At 52.5% G+C, this 20,840-nt stretch overlaps 1 protein-coding gene across 2 annotated transcripts in view, besides 1 other annotated feature; it reads left to right on the top strand.

The window, feature by feature from the left end:
- The window catches only part of DRAXIN (dorsal inhibitory axon guidance protein), a 39,223-nt gene extending 18,616 nt beyond the window's left edge, over positions 1 to 20,607 (top strand). The window contains exons 2-7 of one of the 2 annotated variants that reach the window (NM_198545.4): positions 999 to 1,459; positions 4,025 to 4,215; positions 6,601 to 6,715; positions 7,090 to 7,179; positions 9,869 to 9,958; positions 14,334 to 20,607. In NM_198545.4, the coding sequence (NP_940947.3) occupies positions 1,009 to 1,459; positions 4,025 to 4,215; positions 6,601 to 6,715; positions 7,090 to 7,179; positions 9,869 to 9,958; positions 14,334 to 14,446 (1,050 nt within the window). In that variant the 5' untranslated portion in view covers positions 999 to 1,008 and the 3' untranslated portion in view covers positions 14,447 to 20,607. Of the gene's footprint in view, positions 1 to 998; positions 1,460 to 1,984; positions 3,083 to 4,024; positions 4,216 to 6,600; positions 6,716 to 7,089; positions 7,180 to 9,868; positions 9,959 to 14,333 lie in introns of those variants that run through there. The other variant, XM_017001215.2, reaches the window with a different exon arrangement.
- Positions 14,494 to 14,563: an enhancer, noted in NCBI's record as "active region_171". NCBI's record gives its function as "activates an Ori minimal core promoter by ATAC-STARR-seq in GM12878 lymphoblastoid cells {active_cell/tissue: GM12878}" and the evidence as "EXISTENCE:reporter gene assay evidence [ECO:0000049][PMID:35858748]".
- Positions 20,608 to 20,840: the final 233 nt, after the last annotated feature.

Consider the following 20,840-nt stretch of genomic DNA (forward strand, 5'->3'; position numbering starts at 1 on the left):
GGTGCAATGGAGAGGGGTGCGTGGGGGAGCAGCTGCGGGTGGTGCACGGGGGCAGGAGGTCTCCAGAGTCTGACAGACGCCCCCACCATCCCCTGAGCTGCAGCTTCTCCCTCCAGTGTGGAGGGAGGGCACTGGGTCCCCTGAGGGGGATATCCTGAGGCTAGGTCGGGTTGGCTCAGTCTACCCTGCAGGGGTCAGAGCCAAGTCTGCAAAGCTGTTCCCAAAGCCCCTCCCCCAGGGGAAGGGACAGTGTCAGAACATTCTGGGGCCTCAGAGCTCATCATGAGAGGAGAAGAGAAAGGCAGAGCTGGGCCATCCTGGGACAGCCACACGGGGTTCAGGGCTCAGGGACAGGAATGACACAGTGCCACTTACTAGGTGTGACTTAACCTCTCTGAGCCTTCATTGCCACTTCAGAAAAATGGGGAAAATAACAGGAGCCATTTCAGAGAGCTCTTGAAAGGGCGAAGTGACATGAATTCACACAAAGCACTTAACGTGGGTCCTGCCTACAGCGTGCGCTCAAACGCTATTATTCCATTTGTATGGAATTAGGCTCCGAGTCAAGTCTCAGGGGCCAGAGGCATATTTCTGAGCTCTGAGGGACTCGGTTCCCTCTAGGGGACTTGGTAAGGGGCAGAGGTTTGTGCAGAGAAAGGAATTCTGGACTAATCTGGAACTTGAATGCTGCTGAAATGATTTAAGCCGGGGGTTCTCAGCCTCGGTACTGTTGTTTTTCTGGGCCGGATGATTCTTGGTTTCGGGGGCTGTCCTGTGCATTGTCGGGCGTTTAGCAGCATCCACGGGCTCCAACCTCTACCTGCCAGTAGCACTCCCCAGTTTTGACAACTAAAATATGTCTTCGGGCATTGCCAAATGTCACTGGGAGCAAAATGTCCCTCTATGGCTGTTGAGAAAAACTGGGCTTTAATCATTTGAGTGAGGGGCAGCAGAGAGAGGCCTGGGGCTGCGCATTCATGGTGTTGCTCTTCTTGCAGGGAGGAGCCAATGGCTGGGCCTGCCATCCACACCGCTCCCATGCTGTTCCTCGTCCTCCTGCTGCCCCTGGAGCTGAGCCTGGCAGGCGCCCTTGCACCTGGGACCCCTGCCCGGAACCTCCCTGAGAATCACATTGACCTCCCAGGCCCAGCGCTGTGGACGCCTCAGGCCAGCCACCACCGCCGGCGGGGCCCGGGCAAGAAGGAGTGGGGCCCAGGCCTGCCCAGCCAGGCCCAGGATGGGGCTGTGGTCACCGCCACCAGGCAGGCCTCCAGGCTGCCAGAGGCTGAGGGGCTGCTGCCTGAGCAGAGTCCTGCAGGCCTGCTGCAGGACAAGGACCTGCTCCTGGGACTGGCATTGCCCTACCCCGAGAAGGAGAACCGACCTCCAGGTTGGGAGAGGACCAGGAAACGCAGCAGGGAGCACAAGAGACGCAGGGACAGGTTGAGGCTGCACCAAGGTAGCTGGAGGGCTGCGAGGGGTGGGGATGGGGGTGATTCCTGCCATGGACTGAGGGGAGCAGGAGAGGATGCAGGCAAGGGTCAGGGGCATGAGGTCCAGAGGAGAGGAGGGGTCTCACTGAAGCCAGAGGGACCTGGTAAGGGGAGGAGGCTGGGAGAGGCCTGGGGTTGGGGCATGGGAAGAGGAGAGGGATGTGTTGCAATACAATCTGTCTTATCGCGGCCCGGTGCCGTGGCTCACGCTTGTAATCCCAGCACTTTGGGAGGCCGAGGCGGGCGGATCATGAGATCAGGAGATCGAGACCACGGTGAAACCCCGTCTCTACTAAAAATACAAAAAATTAGCCGGGCGCGATGGTGGGCGCCTGTAGTCCCAGCTACTTGGAAGGCTGAGGCAGGAGAATGGTGTGAACCCAGGAGGCGGAGCTTGCAGTGAGCTGAGATGGCGCCACTGCACTCCAGCCTGGGTGACAGAGCGAGACTCCGTCTCAAAAAATAATAATAATAATCTGTCTTATCAACAGATCATCCTCCTGAATCAGGAAGTTCTACCTTGTATCTGACCTAAATTTCTCCTACTTTAAGTTCTGAGTAGAAATGGAACAGTTCAGCGCCCTCCAAGCACATTTCTTACTCGACTCTGACGCATCCGGTAGGAGCTAAGAGCCTAGACTCTGAAGCCAGGTCTGCCTGAGATCAGGTCCTGCCTCCACCACTAGGGTGTGGCCCTGGGCAAGTTCTCTTTCTGTGCCTCGGTTTTCCCCTCTGTAAAGCAAGGAGACTGGTCCCATCCCATCTACCCTCAGTGTCGTTGCAGAGACTTGGTTAGTGGGGCGCTTGGAGCTCAGCTGGCAGGGCCATGAGCAGTCATTGTTCTGGTTAATCTCAGCCACCTGCTGAGGCCAACTCAGTGTCCTCCAGCCTGGACACAGGTGACTCCAGGAGAGGCATCGCTTGCCTACCGCTCCTGCCTCTGCCCTGTTTGTCTCAGTGCTCCCCTAGCCCTTCCCACCTTCCTTAACGTTTCCCCCACATCCGCTGGGAGCTAGCTAGCCCCCTGCTGGCCCAGGCTTCCCCCTCCCCGTGCCCATTCAGTCTCGGAGTAGACATGTCCCCTCAGCTCCAGTCAGGTGGCTCCTCCCAGCCTTGCCTGGCCCTAAGCCAGGGAACTTGGCTTCTAAGCTCTCCATGTGACCCGACTGCCTCTAGGGACATGCCGAGTGCCACAAATGCAGTGGTGACAGCAGGGTTCTTTGGCAGGAAGGCAATGGAGCTTCAACACCCCTTCTCGTGCAAACAGCTGAGGCTGGCTTCCCTGTGAGGCCTGAGAACCCCCCAAGAGGGCAGAGGTCAGTCAGGGTCCCCCGGCTTCGACTTTCAGCCTCCCACTCCTGGAGTTACCTGTGTCAGCTTTCAGGGGAGGATGCTGGGACCTTTGAGGACAGCTAGAGGGCACGCGTGGGGTGTGGACCCGTCCTGCTGGGCTCCGGCTCCGCCAGCTCCAGGGCTGCAGCCAGGCCTCCTGGGAGAGTTGATATGGTGAGGAGGAGGTGGGGAACGGAGAAGGTTTGCGGGCTAGGCCCTGCTCTGCTAATGACTGGCTGTGAAACCTCAGGCCAGGCTGGGCGTGGTGGCTCACACCTGTAATCCCAGCACTTTGGGAGGCTGGGCAGGCAGATCACTTGAGATCAGGAGTTGGAGACCAACCTGGGCAATATGGAGAAACCCCATCTCTATCAAAAATACAAAAATTAGCCAGGTGTGGTGGCGCATGCCTGTAATCCCAGTTACTCAGGAGGCTGAGGTGGGAGAATCACTTGAACCCTGGAGGCAGAGGTTGCAGTGAGCCAAGATTGAGCCCCTGCACTCCAGCCCTGCTGGAGCTGAATCCAGACCCTGCTACTCATGAGCTGTGCATCCTTGCGTGAGTCACCTAACCTCTCTGTGCTTCAGTTTCCTTCCCTGTAGATGAGACTGAAGGAGCACCCACTTCCCAGAGCTCTTGCAGTAGTTAGACGAAATAACACTTGTGACACAGCTCCTCTGGGACCCAGCACACAGCAGGTGCTCCATTAATGGGGTGATGACTAATTGTCACCACACAGGATGCACTCACTTGTGTGTGATAAGCAGTGATTCCCACCTCCCAGCTTCCTCAAAGGCCACTGCAATGATTCTCAGCCTCATGACATTTCTCCCTACTCAAACTTCACCTCCTCCAGGAAGCCTTCCATGGTTAATCCTACTAGTTCCTATTTGTTATACTTACATATCTGGCTGCGCCCAGCCAATCTGGACTTGGACTTGCTGGAATGTTGCTTTACAGGGAGAATCCTTGGACTGTCTCCCCAGCGACACTGCAAGTTCTTCCAAGACATTTTCCTCCGAGTTCCCATCCCCCAACCTCCCAAGAAGGGTAGGAAGCAGGAATGGGGGCTGAACCAAGGGCTTGTCACACAGTGCCTGCTGCCTCCTAGTTTGCAGCATAAAACGTGGGTTCTACTGTAGACTGCCACGAGGTGGCAAGCAGATATAGCCCCCGTGCTCCCCACCCTGTGTCTCAGGCCGAGCCTTGGTCCGAGGTCCCAGCTCCCTGATGAAGAAGGCAGAGCTCTCCGAAGCCCAGGTGCTGGATGCAGCCATGGAGGAATCCTCCACCAGCCTGGCGCCCACCATGTTCTTTCTCACCACCTTTGAGGCAGCACCTGCCACAGAAGAGTCCCTGATCCTGCCCGTCACCTCCCTGCGGCCCCAGGTAAGGGGTCCCCAAACAGCCTCGGATCTGGAAGGGTCCTTGAGCCCATGTCATGGAAAGCCCTCTTAATACATGTAGGGAGACTGAGGCACGGGGGCAGGAGGCCACAGAGCTTACTTAGATTGAAACCAGATCTCCTGCTGCCCATCCAGTCTAGCTCCAGCCCTGGTGGGTGCCCCATCCTGACAAGGGTCTGCCACTGTCCAGGGCAAAGTGCTCCTGGGGGCCCACTCTGGGGACAGCCAAGGAGGCAAGCGGTAGCTCAGCATGCTGGTGTCTGCATGGAGAGCAGCAAGGCCTGGGGAGGAGCTTTCTGTGTACAGAGGAGCATGAAGCATAATAATGGTGATTTTTAAAACTGTGTCGTCAAGACCCAGAATTAATAAGCATTAGCTAACACTTGGACCCATCTGCATCAGATCTTTAAAAAAGATATGTGGGCTGGGCGCGGTGGCTCATGCCTGTAATCCCAGCACTTAGGGAGGCCAAGGTGGGCAGATCACGAGGTCAGGAGTTCGAGACCAGCCTGGCCAACATAGTGAAACCCCATCTCTACTAAAAATACAAAAATTAGCTGAGTGTGGTGGCGCACGCCTGTAGTCCCAGCTACTCGGGAGGCTGAGGCAGGAGAATCGCTTGAACTTGGGAGGCGGAGGCTGTAGCGTGTCAAGATCGCCCCACTGCACACCAGCCCGGGTGACAGTGTGAGACTTTGTCTCAAAAAAAAAAAAAAAAAGAAATGTGGGGCGGGCACGTTGGCTCAAGCCTGTAATTCTAACACCTTAGAAGGCCAAGGCACGAGGGTCACTTGAGCCCAGGAGTTTGAGATTATCCTGGGCAACATAGTGAGACCCTGTGTCTACAAAACTTTTTTAAAAAATTAGACAGGCATGAGGGCATGTGCCTGTAGTACCAGCTACTTGGGAGGCTGAGGCAGGAGGATCGCTTGAACCCAGGAGGTCAGGGCTGCAGTGAGCCATGATTGCACCACTGCACTCCAGCCTGGGCGACAGAGTGAGACCCTGTCTCAAGGGAAAAAAAAAATGTGGAGAGAAAGTAAGCGGCAAATGTGGCAAAAACACTACCCACTGGTGATTCTGGAAGAGGGGTATATAGGAGCTGACCGCATCGTTCTTGCACCTCTTCTGTGGCTTTTAAAGGTTTTCAGGCCGGGCGCGGTGGCTCATGCCTGTAATCCCAGCACTTTGGGAGGCCAAGGCGGGCAGATCACAAGGTCAGGAAATCGAGACCATCCTGGCTAACATGGTGAAACCCCATCTCTACTAAAAATACAAAAAAAAAAAAAAAATAGCCGGGCATAGTGGCAGGCACATGTAGTTCCAGCTACTTGGGCGGCTGAAGCAGAGAATTGCTTGAACCCGGGAGGCAGAGCTTGCAGTGAGCCAAGATCACGCCACTGCACTCCAGCCTGGGCGACAGAGTGAGACTCCATCTCAAAAAAAAAAAAAAGGTTTTCAAACTAAAATTATTTAAAAGGATCAATAATATATATGTATAAAAAATACATAAAAAAGAAATAGGCCAGGTGCAGTGGGTGGCTCACGCCTGTAATCCCAGCACTTTGGGAGACCGATGCGAATAGATCACCTGAGGTCAGGAGTTCGAGACCAGCCTGGCCAACATGGTGAAACCCCGTCTCTACAAAAATACAAAAGAAATAAAGCTTTTTTAGCAGCAGATCTTTCTTATCCTTTTTTGGGGTCTTGCACCCCCTTGAGATTGTGATAAAAGCTGCAGACCATTTCCCAGGAATACATGGTTATCCGTCTTATCATCCAAGGCCCCCTGCAGGCCAGCCTAGAAGGTGCGGTTCCTGCCCATGCCCTAGTGCTCGCACATGCCCGTGTGTAGATCCAGCTATTGCTGAGGACCTCTAGCCCTCTGCATTCCTGGGGCCACTGGCCCAGGCTGTGAGTGGGACTGAGCCCTGGTTGTGGCCTCAATGGTGCCACGGATTGCTGGTAACCTCTGCAGAGAGAGGAAGGGATGGGAAAGTCCAGTGAGTGGCTGGGCTACTTCCAACACCCTCCTCGTGGGCTTAAAGACCCTGGGCAAGCAAGGTTGCCTTCCCAGCCTGCAGGTGGTCTCTGCCCCTCCTCAGAGGGCCTGGTAGGTAACTCACCTGTGTGTGTGTGCATGGTCCTTCTTGAGTAATGGCTGCACAGGAAGGAAATTACCTAGTGGCCACTGGAACAGGAGCCTCCGGCAGCCATCTTTATGTCCTTGGGCTGAGACTCCAGGCTGCCCAGCAGAGGATAAGGTGGCCTCTGAGAAGCCTCTTTTTTGTCCTCTGACCTTGGGACTCCACACTCCTGCTTCCATGGATTTGAAGGTTCCAACATCCCCCTTCTCCACGGTCTCCAGCAGGCACAGCCCAGGTCTGACGGGGAGGTGATGCCCACGCTGGACATGGCCTTGTTCGACTGGACCGATTATGAAGACTTAAAACCTGATGGTTGGCCCTCTGCAAAGAAGAAAGGTATGCCCACCTACCCCACTATCTTCCATGCCTGGGTGCCCTGCCCTCCCGCACCATCTGTTGAGGTGGGGGCCCCAGTGAGCCCTGTCTGATCTTCAGATGTCCAAAGGTGGGATGTGGGGAGAGGGGGAGCATGGAGCCTAACCTGGAAACACCACTTGGAACGGAGAATGCTGTCAAATGCTTATCACGTGCCACACGCTTCCATGTTTCCACTCATGTTACCCTGAGGGAAAATACCTGTTAGGTCCAACAGTGCCTTGTCCAAGCCATGCTGTAGAGTGGTGGTATGGGCACTCCAACATCTGAGTCCCTGTGCTTAACCTCTGCTCTGCTGGGCCCCAGCTTCTGACGACAGATCTTCTTATCCCCAGAGAAACACCGCGGTAAACTCTCCAGTGATGGTAACGAAACATCACCAGCCGAAGGGGAACCATGCGACCATCACCAAGACTGCCTGCCAGGTACCAGCCAGCACCCACATTCAAGGCACCAGGCTGGGTACTGGGAGGGAACCTGGGTGGGAGTGGGGGTTCCCACATGTGCAGGACCTGAGAATCCTTGACCCTTCATGGATGATAAATAATAACAACAGCTGCCACTTTCCTGAGAGTTGCTGTCAGACATCCATTCATTTCATACATTATTCACAGCCAGGCACGGTGGCTCACACCTGTAATCCCAGCACTATGGGAGGCTGAGGCGGGTGGAACACCTGAGGTCAGGAGTTTGAGAGCATCCTGGCCAACATGGCGAAACCCCATCGCTACTAAAAATATAAAAATTATCCGGGCATGGTGGAACATGCCTGTAATCCCAGCTACTCGGGAGGATGAGGCAGGAGAATCAATCGCTTGAACCTGCAAGGCAGAGGTTGCAGTGAGCTGGGATCATGCAACTGCACTCCAGCCTGGGCGACAAGAGGGAAACTCCATCTCAAAAAAAAAAAATACCCTGGGCATGGTGGCTCATGCCTGTAATCCCAGCACTTTGGGAGGCCGAGGCAGGCGGATCACGAGGTCAGGAGTTTGAGACCAGCCTAACCAACATGGTGAAACCCCGTCTCTACTAAAAATACAAAAATTAGCTGGGCATGGTGGTGTGCGCCTGTAATCTCAGCTACTTGGGAGGCTGAGGCGGGAACATTGCTTGAACCCGGGAGGCGGAGGTTGTGGTGAGCTGAGATCGTGCCATTGCACTCCAGCCTGGGCAATAAGAGTGAAATTCCGTCTCAAAAAAAAAAAAATACATTACTCACAACAACGCAGTTTTCAAGCCAGGTGATTGAGCCCCAGAGAGGCTGTCTTGCCCAAGGTCACACGGTTAAGAAGTGGCTCCAACCTGGCCTGGCTGGAAAGCCTCTTCACCACAGCCCCATGCTGCCTTAAATCGGGATGATCCTCTCTTGCCCTCTTCCTCCTGACACCAGGCAGGGCTTAATGCTGTCCTTGTCCCATCGCAACACTGCCAGGCATTCTGGAGATGCTTTTGGTGACATCCTCACTGTTCGGCAGCCGTCTCCATGGAGACAGTCTAAAAACAAGAAGCCGGACGTTGTAACTAATGTCCTAAACCCTGGGGGCCCTTGGGGGTCCGTCGGACCTTCCAGGAAGCAGATACTGAGGTAAGTTAGAAGTGTGAGACCGGGTGCAGTGGCTCACACCTGTAATCCCAGCACTATGGGAGGCCGAGGCGGGAGGATCCCGTGAGCCCAGGAGTTCAGGACCAGCCTGGGCAACACGGGAAGACTCCATCTCCAAAAATAGTAATAATTTAAAAAAATAACCAGGCTTGGCTGGGTGCGGTGGCTCACGCCTATAATCCCAGCCCTTTGGGAGGCCGAGATGGGTGGATCACAAGGTCAGGAGTTCAAGACCAGCCTGGCCATGAAACCCCATCTCTACTAAAAATACAAAAATTAGCCGGGCATGGTGGCAGGTGCCTGTAATCCTAGCTACTCAGGAGGCTGAGGCAAAGAATTGCTTGAACCTGGGAGGTGGAGGTTGCAGTGACCCGAGATCGCACGACTGCACTCTGACAGAGCGAGACTCTGTCTCAAAATTAAAAAAAATAAGAAAATAAAAAATTAACCAACCAGGCTTGGTGGTGTGCGCCTGTGGTTCCAGGTATTCAGGAGGCTAAGGCAGGAGGATCACCTGAGCCTCGGGGGTCAAGGCTGCAGCGAGATATGATCGCACCACTGTACTCCAGCTTGGGTGACAGAGCAAGACCCTGTCTCAACAAAACAAAACAAAAAGCACAACAGATTTATTTTGGGGTGGGCTAGGGGTGGGAAACACTTGTGAATGACGAAAGGTGGAGGAAGCATGGAGGAAGCTTCAGACATCATGCACCGGATGGGCGCTCCAGTACAGAGGTGGCCTGTTAGACGAGGCCCGTGCTGAGCAGAAATGGCTGGGCCCCAGAACCCCCATGCCCGTCATTGGCAGGGGCTGCTGGGAACAGCCTGCCATGGGCCAAGGTGGCCCTGAAGCTGTACCAGCTGGAGGCCGCCAGCAAGTGCTTTCCCCAAGAGAGATCGGAGCGGCACACCTCCACGGCACCACGATTGTTAGATCAGTGACCAGAATATTCTACAAAACAGCAACCAAACCAGCAATTAGCATTGTATAAGGCAAACCACCAGCTCCCTGACAGGCTGCTTCATTCCCAAACCATTGTTTTCACCCTGGGCACAAAGAAAAGGCCCGCATTTGGGCCGACTGGACAGTCGCTCTGGGAGCCGGCTCCATGGCAGGTGCCCAGGACTTCAGTTTCCCCATCTGTCAAAAGAGGACATTGGTTTTGGGGATCCTGAGGCCCCTCCCAGCTCTGAGCTGACTCCACACCTGGCAGCCCCCAGCTGTTCTACTGGCTCTGTCTGGGAGGAGACCTCACACCACCTTCGCTCTTCCCATGGTCAATCAGTACCCCATCTGAGGCAGCTGGGGTCTCTGCCACCGACCCTTGGGGGCCTCGGCCATGACATCTCCCTGTGGTTCCACTCAGGAGCCTTGCACACCAGATGGCCCACCCCGCCAGGGCGCGGCCTGCCACAGAGATGATGGATCTCTTGTCCAGTGGGACCGAGTGCAGGGCTGCGGGGAGGGGCGGCTCAGCTTGGCTGACTGCGTGTGCTCTCTGTGTTGGCAGGGACTTGCTGCGACCTGCGGGAGCATCTCTGCACACCCCACAACCGAGGCCTCAACAACAAATGCTTCGATGACTGCATGTGTGTGGAAGGTGGGTCCAGACTCCTTTGCGGGGGGCTACCCATGCTCTGAGAACCACAAAGCCTCCCTTTCTCGAAGCGGCTTCTGCACCGAGTGGGGAACAAGCTTTCCTGGCAGAGGGTGGATCATGGGCCTGCGGCGGGGGTGTAGGTGGGAGAATCCCTCGGGAGCCGAAGACGTGAGCAAGAACAGCTTTATCAGTGCCTTCCCAATCTGTGAACTCATTTAGTCCTGATTCTTGGCATCATTTCTGAGATTTGCTTTTCTCAACTTTTGAAATACAAGCTGGCACAATCTCCCACTATCTGGAAGAGGGAGAAGGGAGGAGACAGGAGCACATCTCTTTAAATTAGATCCAGCCTCAGAAGGCTGCCGCTTTCACACCAGAATTCTATCCCAGAGGAGGCATTGAAGTGTGATAATGGGGTGGGGGTGGGTTTCCCAGCATGTCCCAGGGAAGGATGCACTTGCCCAGCTGCCTCTTCAACTCCTCCGTGCCCCCACCTCGCCTAAGTGTGCTGGGCTCTGTGCTGAGCACTTTTCTACTGAAATCCCCATGACCACCCCTAGAAAGGAGCTATGATGATCCGCACTGTACAAATAAGCCAACTGGGGCACAGAAAGCTTAATGATGCCCAAACTTACACAGCCAGGAAAGTGGGGGGAATAGTTTCAGGTTTTTGTTTTGTTTTGACAGGTTTTACTCTGTCACCCAGGCTGGAGTGCAGCAGTGCAGTTTTGGCTCACTGCAACCTCTGCTTCCCAGGCTTAGGTGATCCTCCCATCCCAGCCCTGCAGGTAGCTCTGACTACAGGCGCATGCCACCAGCCCAGCTAATTTTTGTATTTCTGGTAGAGGCAGAGTTTTGCCATGTTCCCTAGGCTGGTTTCAAACTCCTGACCTCAAGCGATCCACCTGTCTTGGCCTCCCAAAGTTCTGGGATTACAGGCATGAGCCACCACACCCAGCCAGTTTCAATTTTGTATTCTGCAAAGTTTCAAATATATACTAAAGTAGTTAGAATAGTCTAATGAGCGCCCATTTCTCATCACTCTGCTTCAATACCAACTCACGGCCAATCTGTGTCTATCATCTCTCACACACTTTCCTTATTCCGACATGATTTCTAAGCAACTCCTGGGAGCTTACAGGTATTTCACCTGTGAATATTTTAGTGTGTACCTCTGAAAGACAAGTACTCTTTTAAAAACAAAATGCCAAACATGAACGATAATTAATCAGTTCCATCCAATATCAAATCAGCATTCACACATCTCCTGGATGGGGGAATTGGGGCTCAGCCCCTCTGTGGACCTGAGATACATGCCCCGTTTTGCTCATATTAGCCTCAGAGAGTTATCTACCATGATCGTGCCACTGCACTCCGGCCTGGATGATGGAGCGAGACCCTGTCTTAAAAATGATGATAATACATCTTTTTCTTCCCAATTTTTAAAATTGTGGACTTTTAAATTTAATTTAATTATTTTTTGAGACAGGGTTTCACTCTGTCACCCAGGCTGGAGTGCAGTGGCGCAATCCCAGCTCTCTGTAGCTTTAACTCCCGGGCTCAAGGGATCCTCCCGCCTCGGCAATAAAGCTATGTAGTTCTGATTATTCACTCATCTAATCAGTTAAATATTTAGGGAGCACCTACTGCGTATCAGACATTGCTCTGGACACTGGGGGGTTCAGTAGTGAAAAGAACCAGCAAGTTCTGTGCCCATGAATTACATTCTAGTGATATGAGCAGACAACAATCAAATACATAGATAGTATGTCTTTAGAAAATAATAAGGGCTATGGCCGAGCATGGTGGCTCATGCCTGTAATCCTAGCACTTTGGGAGGCCGAGGCAGGAGGATCACTTGAGGTCAGGAGTGAGACCAGCCTGGCCAACATGGTGAAACCCTGTCTCTACTAAAAATACAAAAATTAGATGGGCATGGTGGCACTTGCCTGTAATTCCAGCTACTCGGGAGCCTGAGGCATGAGAATCGCTTGAACCCGGGAGGCAGAGATTGCAGTGAGCCGAGATCCTGCCATTGCACTCCAGCCTGGGTGACTGAGTGAGACTCTGTCTCAAAAAGAAAAAAAAAGTAAGTAATAAGGGCTATAAAGATAATAATATGATAATGAGTCCTACAGTTGTTTTAGAAAGGGTAGACAGAAGTGGGCATTGGAGGCCAGGGGAGTGGTTCATGCCTGTAATCTCAGCACTTTGGGAGGCCAAGGCGGGCAGATCATGAGGTCAGGAGTTTGAGACCAGCCTGACCAACATGGTGAAATCCCATCTCTACTAAAAATACAAAAATTAGCCGGGTGTGGTGACGCGCACCTGTAATCCCAGCTACTCAGGAGGCTGAGGCAGGAGAATCTCTTGAAACCAGGAGGCGGAGGTTGCAGTGAGCTGAGATCGTGCCTCTGCACTCCAGCCTGGGCAACAGAGAGAGACTCCGTCTCAAAAAAAAAAAAAGAAAGGGTAGACAGAAGTGGGCATTGGAGGCCAGGCGGGGTGGTTCATGCCTGTAATCCCAGCATTTTGGGAGGCCAAGGCAGGTGGATCCTTGAGCCCGGAGTTGGAGACCAGCCTTGGCAAGGTAGAGAGACACTGTCTCTACCAAAAATACAAAAAAAAAAAAAAAAATTAGCCGGGTGTGGTGGCGCACACCCATAGTACCAGCTACTTGGGAGGCTGAAGTGGGGAGGATCACTTGAGCCCAGGAGGCAGAGATTGCAGTGAGCCGAGATCTTGCCATGCCACTGCACTCCAGTCCAGGCAACAGAGCAAGACCCTGTCTCAAAAAAAAAAAAAAAAAGGGAGGCCCGGCACGGTGGCTCATGCCTGTAATCCCATCACTTTGGGAGGCGGAGGTGGGCAGATCACTTGAGGCCAGGAGTTCAAGACCAGCCTGGCCAACATGGTGAAACCCCATCTCTGCTAAAAAAAAAAAAAAAAAATACAAAATTAGCTGGGTGTGGTGGCGCATGCCTGTAATCCCAGCTACTCGAGAGGCTGAGGCAGGAGAATCACTTGAACCCAGGAGGCAGAGGTTTCATAAGCCAAGATGGTGCCGCTGCACTCCAGCCTGGGTGACAAGAGCAAAACTCCATCTCAAAAAAAAAAAAAAAAAAAGCAATGGCTCTCCATAGGATGTTTTACAGGGAAGGGCAGAATTTGAGCCACTTAAAAAAAAATTTAATAACCTTTTTCCTTTCCAATTTTCAAGATTATAGACTTTTTAATTGAATTTATCTGTGTATTTTATTTTTTAATTTTTTTGAGACAGAGTCTCACTCTGTTACCCAGGCTGAACTACAGTGGTGCAACCAAGGCGCACTGCAGCCTGGAACTCCTGGGCTCAAAGGATCCTCTCATGTTAGCCCCTCCTTCCTATAGTTGGGACTACAGGTGTATGCCACAATGCCTGGCTAATTTTTACATTTTTTGTAGAGATAGGGTCTCCCTATGTTGCTTAGGCTGGTCTGGAACTACTGGGCTCAAGCGATCCTCCCACCTCAGCCTCTCAAAGTGCTGGGATTACGGGTGTGAGCCACCGTACCCTGTGGACTTTATTTTTAGAGCAGTTTTCTAGAAAAATTTCACAGAATGTGGTTCTCATATACCTGCTTTGCCCCTGCATGCAGTTTCTCCTATTAATAACATCTTGCAATCATGTGGTAGATTTGTTTGTTTGTTTGTTTGTTTGTTTGTTTTCTGAGAGGGAGTCTAGCTCTGTCGCCCCAGCTGGAGTGCAGTGGCATGATCTTGGCTCACTGCAAGCTCCACCTCCCGGGTTCATGTGATTCTCCTGCCTCAGCCTCCCAAGTAACGGGGATTACAGGCACCCACCACCATGCCCGGGTAGTTTTTGTATTTTTTTAAGTAGAGACGGGGTTTCACCATGTTGGCCAGGCTGGTCTCAAACTCCTGACCTCAAGTGATCCACCTGCCTCGGCCTTACAAAGCGCTGGGATTATAGGCGTGAGCCACCGTGCCCGGCCTCTCTTGGTACATTTGTTGCTTGACAAACCAATAGTGATGTATTATTATTACTAACTGAAGTCAACGTAAGTTATAGTTCACTGTGCGGTGCATTCTGTGGGTTTTGACAAATGCATGCCATGTCCCACCATTACGTGTCACACAGAATATGTTCACCGCCCCGACCGCCCTGAGTCTTCTCTGTTCTCCTTCCGTGTTCATTCCTCCCCTCTTCCGGGTTCGTGTCTTTTAAGCTCATTGGGGCTGCCGTGAGGAAGCTGGGTTGTAGGGCAGAATAATGAAGGCAGGAGGGAGCTGGCTGGCCCCGAGCGTGCAGGGGAAGGAAGGGGAGGGCACGGGCCCTTCGCGCCTCTGACCCCCCTTGCCTCCACTCGCCCAGGGCTGCGCTGCTATGCCAAATTCCACCGGAACCGCAGGGTTACACGGAGGAAAGGGCGCTGTGTGGAGCCCGAGACGGCCAACGGCGACCAGGGATCCTTCATCAACGTCTAGCGGCCCCGCGGGACTGGGGACTGAGCCCAGGAGGTTTGCACAAGCCGGGCGATTTGTTTGTAACTAGCAGTGGGAGATCAAGTTGGGGAACAGATGGCTGAGGCTGCAGACTCAGGCCCAGGACACTCAACCCCAGGAGGGGAGCCGCTCGGCGAATGAGCTGGGTGGGTGCCCAGGAGCCGGCCCGCAGCACCTGCACACACGAAGTCCGGACCCACGCAGCCTCCATCCCGCGTGTCTTGCTCTCCGCGATGGCAATGCCGAGAGTGCCCTCTACTGTCCGACTCCAGCACTGCAACAGCTTCAAGTTCAAAACCAAGAGGCGTTTTTGAGAGTGGAAAAGAAATTTAAACTTCCCGAAAGAAGGTCCACCATCAGGAGATGAATATGGAACATCTCCTATGTACCAGGCACTGTGCTAAGTGCTGGAATACATTATCTCATTGAATTATCACAACGACCTTTTCAAGTAGGCATTATCACCATGCGACAGGTTGAGGACCGTGAGGCACGCTGGAGTTATTTGACTCGACTTGCCCAGGGTCCCAGGTCAGTGCTCCTCAAACCTGAACATGCTAAGAGTCACCTGGAGGTCCAGTTAAAAATGTACATCTGGCCGGGCGCGGCGGCTCACGCTTGTAATCCCAGCACTTTGGGAGGCCAAGGCGGGTGGCTCACCTGAGGTCAGGAGTTCGAGACCAGCCTGGCCAACATGGGGAAACCCCGTCTCTATTAAAAATACAAAAATTAGGCCAGGCGCGGTGGTGCACACCTGTAATCCCAGCTACTCGGAGGCTGAGGCACCAGAATCGCTTGAACTTGGGAGGCAGAGGTTGCAGTGAGCAGAGATCGTGCCACTGCACTCCAGCCTGGGGGACAAGAGTGAAACTCCATCTCAAAAAAAAAAAAAAAAAAAAGCACATCTGACTCAGTGGGCTCTGTGCTCTAACAAGCTCCCAGGGAACGCGAGGCTGCTGGCCCAGGGACCCACTGAGAGGTCCTGGGAAGTACATGGCAGAGCAAGGACATGAACCTGGGCCAAGGCTGTCCAGCTCCAAGGCCCACGTTCTTGCTGCTCCACAGCCAAGAATTTCTTCCAGATTCTCTAAGGCTTTTGGCAAGAGAGGCTCACACCCTGGTATTCCCTTCCTCTGTGGCTGGAATAACTTGACTGTTCTCTGCCTTCCCTGGATAAAGGTGTATCATGTTTAAAAACAAAACAAAATACAACTTAAGCACATACTTGCTTGCAGGAATAAGTTGGGCAGGTTGATCCCTGTGGTCTAGTAGCTGATATCCTGGGATAAGAAGTGTTTGGGGAAAAGAATCATGTTGGCCTTTATGTCCCTGTGGTCCTGATCATCCAGTCCTGGACAGGCACTTTACAGTTTTCTGGAGCACTTCCCCCCCAGGGGTTCTGATGCAAGCATGGAATCCAAAAAAACCCCACACATATTGCCCATGTTTACCCACTTTGCATACTGTTTAGTGATTTCCAGGACCACAAAACCATCCCTGGAACCCCACCCCACATTTTTGCAGCAGAGCCCACTGGGAAGTTGAGGCTCACCTGAAATTGAGGTGCTATCTGAAGCTAACTGCCCCTAACAGGCCAGACTCACAATGCCCACCCAGGACATCTGTCCCAGCAGATCTGGCTTCAGGGGTCACTTCAGGAGAACCATTTAAATCCCCCCACTTGGCATCTCACTCCTGGCCAACCCTCTGTTCCAGGGCGAACCAGGTTGCAAATGACAAAAGACTTTCCTGGCCAAATTCCTCACTGGCCTGGATCACGCCCATAAGATGCCAGAGATGTTTACTGCGTTGGAAAAATCAGTCGGGGTCAGGGGTCAGGCACCAAGGAAAGCAGGCAGATCTAGAAGAAATTAAATATGCTTGTTCTCTCCCTATCCAAGTTTGATGGGCATGGGAACCTTGTGGGGAGGGAGCAGGGAGGGCAGGGGAACTGGGAGATCAAAGCAGGCTAGCTGAAAGGCAGATATGGCTAGACACAATGGCTCATGCCTGTAATCCCAGCACTTTGGGAGGCTGAGGTGGGCGGACCACCTCAGGTCAGGAGTTTGAGACCAGCCTGGCCAACATGGCAAAACCCGGTCTCTACCAAATATACAAAAATTAAGGCTGGGCACGAGGGCTCATGTCTGACATCCCAGCACTCTGGGAGGCCGAGGTAGGCAGATCACTTGAAGTAAGGCGTTCGAGAACAGCCTGACCAACATGGTGAAACCCCATCTCTACTAAAAATACAAAAATTAGCCAGGCATGGTGGCAGGTGCCTGTAATCCCAGCTACTCAGGAGGCTCAGGCGGGAGAATCACTTGAACCCAGGAGGCGGAGGTTGCGGTGAGCCAAGATCACGCCATTGCACTCCAGCCTGGGCGACAGAGTGAGACTCCAAAAATATAAAACACTTAAAAATGTAAAAAGGCAGATCTGCCAGCAGCTTCGTACTTGAGACCAGACAACCCACACATGCTGTGTGTGCCTCACATTAAGTGGTGACTCGGGACTGTGCTGGCTCTGTGGGGCTAGAACCCTAAGGAGTACCGCCGGAAGAAAGCCCAGCATTACTATGGCTGGGGGACAGCTGTTAGATGGTCCTAGGACATCAGCCATGGAGAACACAGAGGGTCAGGACAAAGCTAAAATGCCCATAGAACTGCCACTGGTTGCCAGGGTAGTTCCATGGTTGGAAATTCAAGGCCCGTCTCTTTGCCCTAGCTATCTCTATTTGACATTTCCAAAGAGGGATGGGTGGATGGAACCTCTTAACTCCAGAGCTGGGAATCCCAAAGCCCTCTCAAGTGTCTAACCAACCTCTCTGCCAGGAAGTTCTTCCTTAGGTCTATCTTAAATTTATTTTGCTCATACAGAAGCCAGTTTCCTCTAATCCAGGGTTTAGCAAACTTTTACTGTGAGGAGCCAAATAAACATTTTAGGATTTGCAAGCCATCTGATCTCCACCAGCTACTCAGCTCTGCCGTAGCTCGAAGCAGCCACAGAGAGTGTGTAAATGAATTCATGGCTATGCTCCAGGAAAACTATTTCTGGACACACATGTGAATTCTGTATACTTTTCACATGTCACAAAATATTATTCTCTCTTTCCTTTTTTTTTTTTTTGGAGATGGAGTTTTGCTCTGCTGCCCAGGCTGGAATGCAGTGGCTCAGTCTCAGCTCACTGCAACCTCTTCATCCCAGGTTCAAGCAATTCTCCTGCCTCAGCCTCCCAAGTAGCTGTGACTACAGGCATGTGCCACCACACCTGGTTAATTTTTGTATTTTTAGTAGAGATAAGGTTTTACCATGTTGGCCAGGCTGGTCTCAAACTTCTGACCTCAGGTGATCCGCCCGCCTCAGCCTCCCAAAATGCTGGGATTACAGGTGTGAGCCACCGCACCTGGCCATAAAATATTATTAGTTTAATTTTCTAAAACCATTTAAAAGTGCAAAAACTGCTCTTTGCTTGCCAACTGCGCAAAACCAGGCAGTGGGGCAGATTTGGCCTGAGGGTCACGGTTTGCCAACCCCTGCTCAAGCCTGCTCACTCTCAACGCTGGCTGCACGTTGCAATAATCCAGGAACATTCACAGGCCTGGGGCCCACCCACAAAGCTTCTGTTTTGTTTGGTCTGGGCTTCATAGTTTTTCTCCCAGGTAACTTCAGGTGCAGCTGGGGCGGAGAGTCTCTGCTCTCCCCTTCCATCTGTAGCAGTGTGGCTGGTGTTAAATCCACCTATTCCACCTCTCACAGCTTTGGCAACCTTAGGAAAGTTTCTTAAGGTCTCTGTGCCTTGATTTTTTCATCTGTAAAATGGGAATAATAACTCTCCCTTCATAGGGTTGTTGTGAGTAGTGAATGCATACTTCTTTTTTTTTTTTTTTCTTTTGAGACAGAGTTTCACTCTTGTTGCCCAGGCTGGAGTGCAGTGGCACGATCTCGGCTCACTGCGACCTCTGCCTCCTGGGTACAAGTGATTCTCCCGCCTCAGCCTCTCGCGTACCTGGGATTATAGGCAAGCATCACCACGCCCGGTTACTGTTTGTATTTTTAGTAGAGATGGGGTTTCACCATGTTGGCCAGGCTGGTCTCAAACTCCTGACCTCAGGTGATCCCCCCGTCTCAGCCTCCCAAAGTGCTGGGATTACAGGCATGAGCCAGCATGCCTGGCCTGTGAACGCAGAATTCTTATAAGGTGTTTAGAACAGTGCCTAGCACCTAATAAACCTCCAGTGTTAGCTAATTTGTTATTCTAGGAGAATTTTAGATGTCGGTTCTTTGACAATGACCCATCACATACTCTGAGATCATTTCTAAGTCACCATTCAAGCTCCTTCCCCAAAGTGTGTTCCATAGAACACTGGGACCATGAGATGCTCTATTAGAAAGGGTCAGGGTACGGTTCCATGGTCAGAGAGGTTTGGAAAACTGTTCTGGCCTCAGCCCTTGGCAGCATGTGCAGATTCCAGGCACCGAGGCAGGGCTGGAGGAGTAAGTGGCTTTGCAATAAAATGGGTGCTGGAGTCTAAAATGATACCCTGGGTGGAGTGGGGGAGCTGAGCAGGAGGCCAGGTGGCAACCAGTAGCTGCTGGGCCCGTGGCCTGAACCCTCCTGCACTCCTCCAGCTGGAGTCTCACCGCGGATCCCAGGAATACCTGCTGTTCCCACAGGGCTGCCTTTCCGTAGTTTGTCTGGAGACACCAAGAGTGGTTTCCATGCCTGCTGGGAATAGGCTGAGCATGCAATGACATGAGGGCCAAGGCTTGTGGGAAAATGACAGCTTCACAGCCCCTTGAGGAGTGACCAAGCCACAAAGTAAATCCTAAAGCCACAACCCCTTCTACCACTGAGCTGCTGGAGGTGGGTCCTTATTTCAAGCCATATTCAACCCACCCAACAAAACCTAACATTGAGGTGGTGGGCACACGGCCCCTGCCGTGGGGCTCACTCTGCAGCTGGAGAGACAGCATACCTGAAACCTGCAAGGAACCGGTTTATAAAACAACAGAACAGCCAGGAAAATGGTGCTAGGAGAGACAGTGGAGAGGCCAGAGAAGCAAACCACTGTGGCTCCTCACTGGGGGTTTCACGGGGTTGGACTGAGCCCTGTCACCTCTGTGATAGTCTTCACTCTGACAGGCAATGGTGACTGTGTGTGTTTCCTGGGGAGGAGGTTAGCAGGGACGGTTGCCTTTCCTGGGAAGGGCAGTTTGCAGAACCAGGGGTTTATATTGCAGGGAGTGTATTTTCTGAATTCTAAGTCAGAACAAGCAGTCTGATACAGGATCCATGGCTGGGTCACTTCTGGGTGCAAGAGGCTTTCTAGACCTTAGACACTCAAGATTACGGTCCCGGGCCAGTAACAGCACCTGGGAGCTTGGTAGAAATGCAGAATCTTAGCCTAGGCAACATAGGGAGACCTCATCTCTGCAAAAAATAACAAAATTAGCCGGGCATGGTGGTGCACACCTGTAGTCCCAGCTATTCTCCAGGCTGAGGTGGGAGGATCGCTTGAGCCCAAGAGGTTGAGGCTGCAGTGAGCCATGATCGCACCACTGCACTCCAGCTTAGGCAATACAGCGAGACCTTGTCTCAAAAAAAGACAAAAAAAACAAAAAGAAATGTAGATTCTTGGGCCCCACCACCCCACGCCTACTGAGCCAGAATCTCTGGGGGTGGGGCCCAGCCATTTGGCTTTTCACAAGTTCTCCAGGTCATTCTTGGGCACGATCAAATTTGAGAATCACAGGTCTAGGATACGACGGGGAAAACAGAAATGTGGGGTGGTCAGGGACATTCGGATAATTCGGGCTATTTGTATTCAGGTGTGAGCTGGCAAATCCGAGACCTGTTTTGCGTAGCTAATTACCAGCAATGACAAACTCCCAGGCTCTGAGGCCCAAGCCTCCTGGGCTGCAACTGGTCTTTATTTTTGGAGGCAATGAATGGAGCACCTCGGCCTGGGACCCTCAGTGTAGGGTTTTCTGACTCTTAGGCAACTTCCTAGGGTGCTGTACTTCCTTTTTAAAGTTGGGGAGCGGCAGGGGGAGGGGGAAGTGCCACGCCCTTGTAGTTTCATGATGTCATGTTGCATGTGCTCTTGAGCTGTAAATAAAGAGACGATGGTTAAAAAGCCCACCTGGTGTCTCTCTTTGTTCCTCCAGGAGACGGTCTGTCTGTGCTGGTAGTGAGCTCTACAGGGGCATTTGGAGGGGATCCTTAGCCTGGTATTCCACCTATGACTTCTCAACACACTGGACTGAGCATTTGCCCTGAGCTAAGCAGCAAACAAGGCAGACAGGACCCCTGCCCTCGCCTGGTCCTCATCATAATCCCTCAGCCAGACCTCTTGACTGCGAGTCTCAGATT

This window comes from Homo sapiens, chromosome 1 (genome assembly GCF_000001405.40).
Source record: "Homo sapiens chromosome 1, GRCh38.p14 Primary Assembly".
Taxonomy (NCBI): Eukaryota; Metazoa; Chordata; class Mammalia; order Primates; family Hominidae; genus Homo; species Homo sapiens.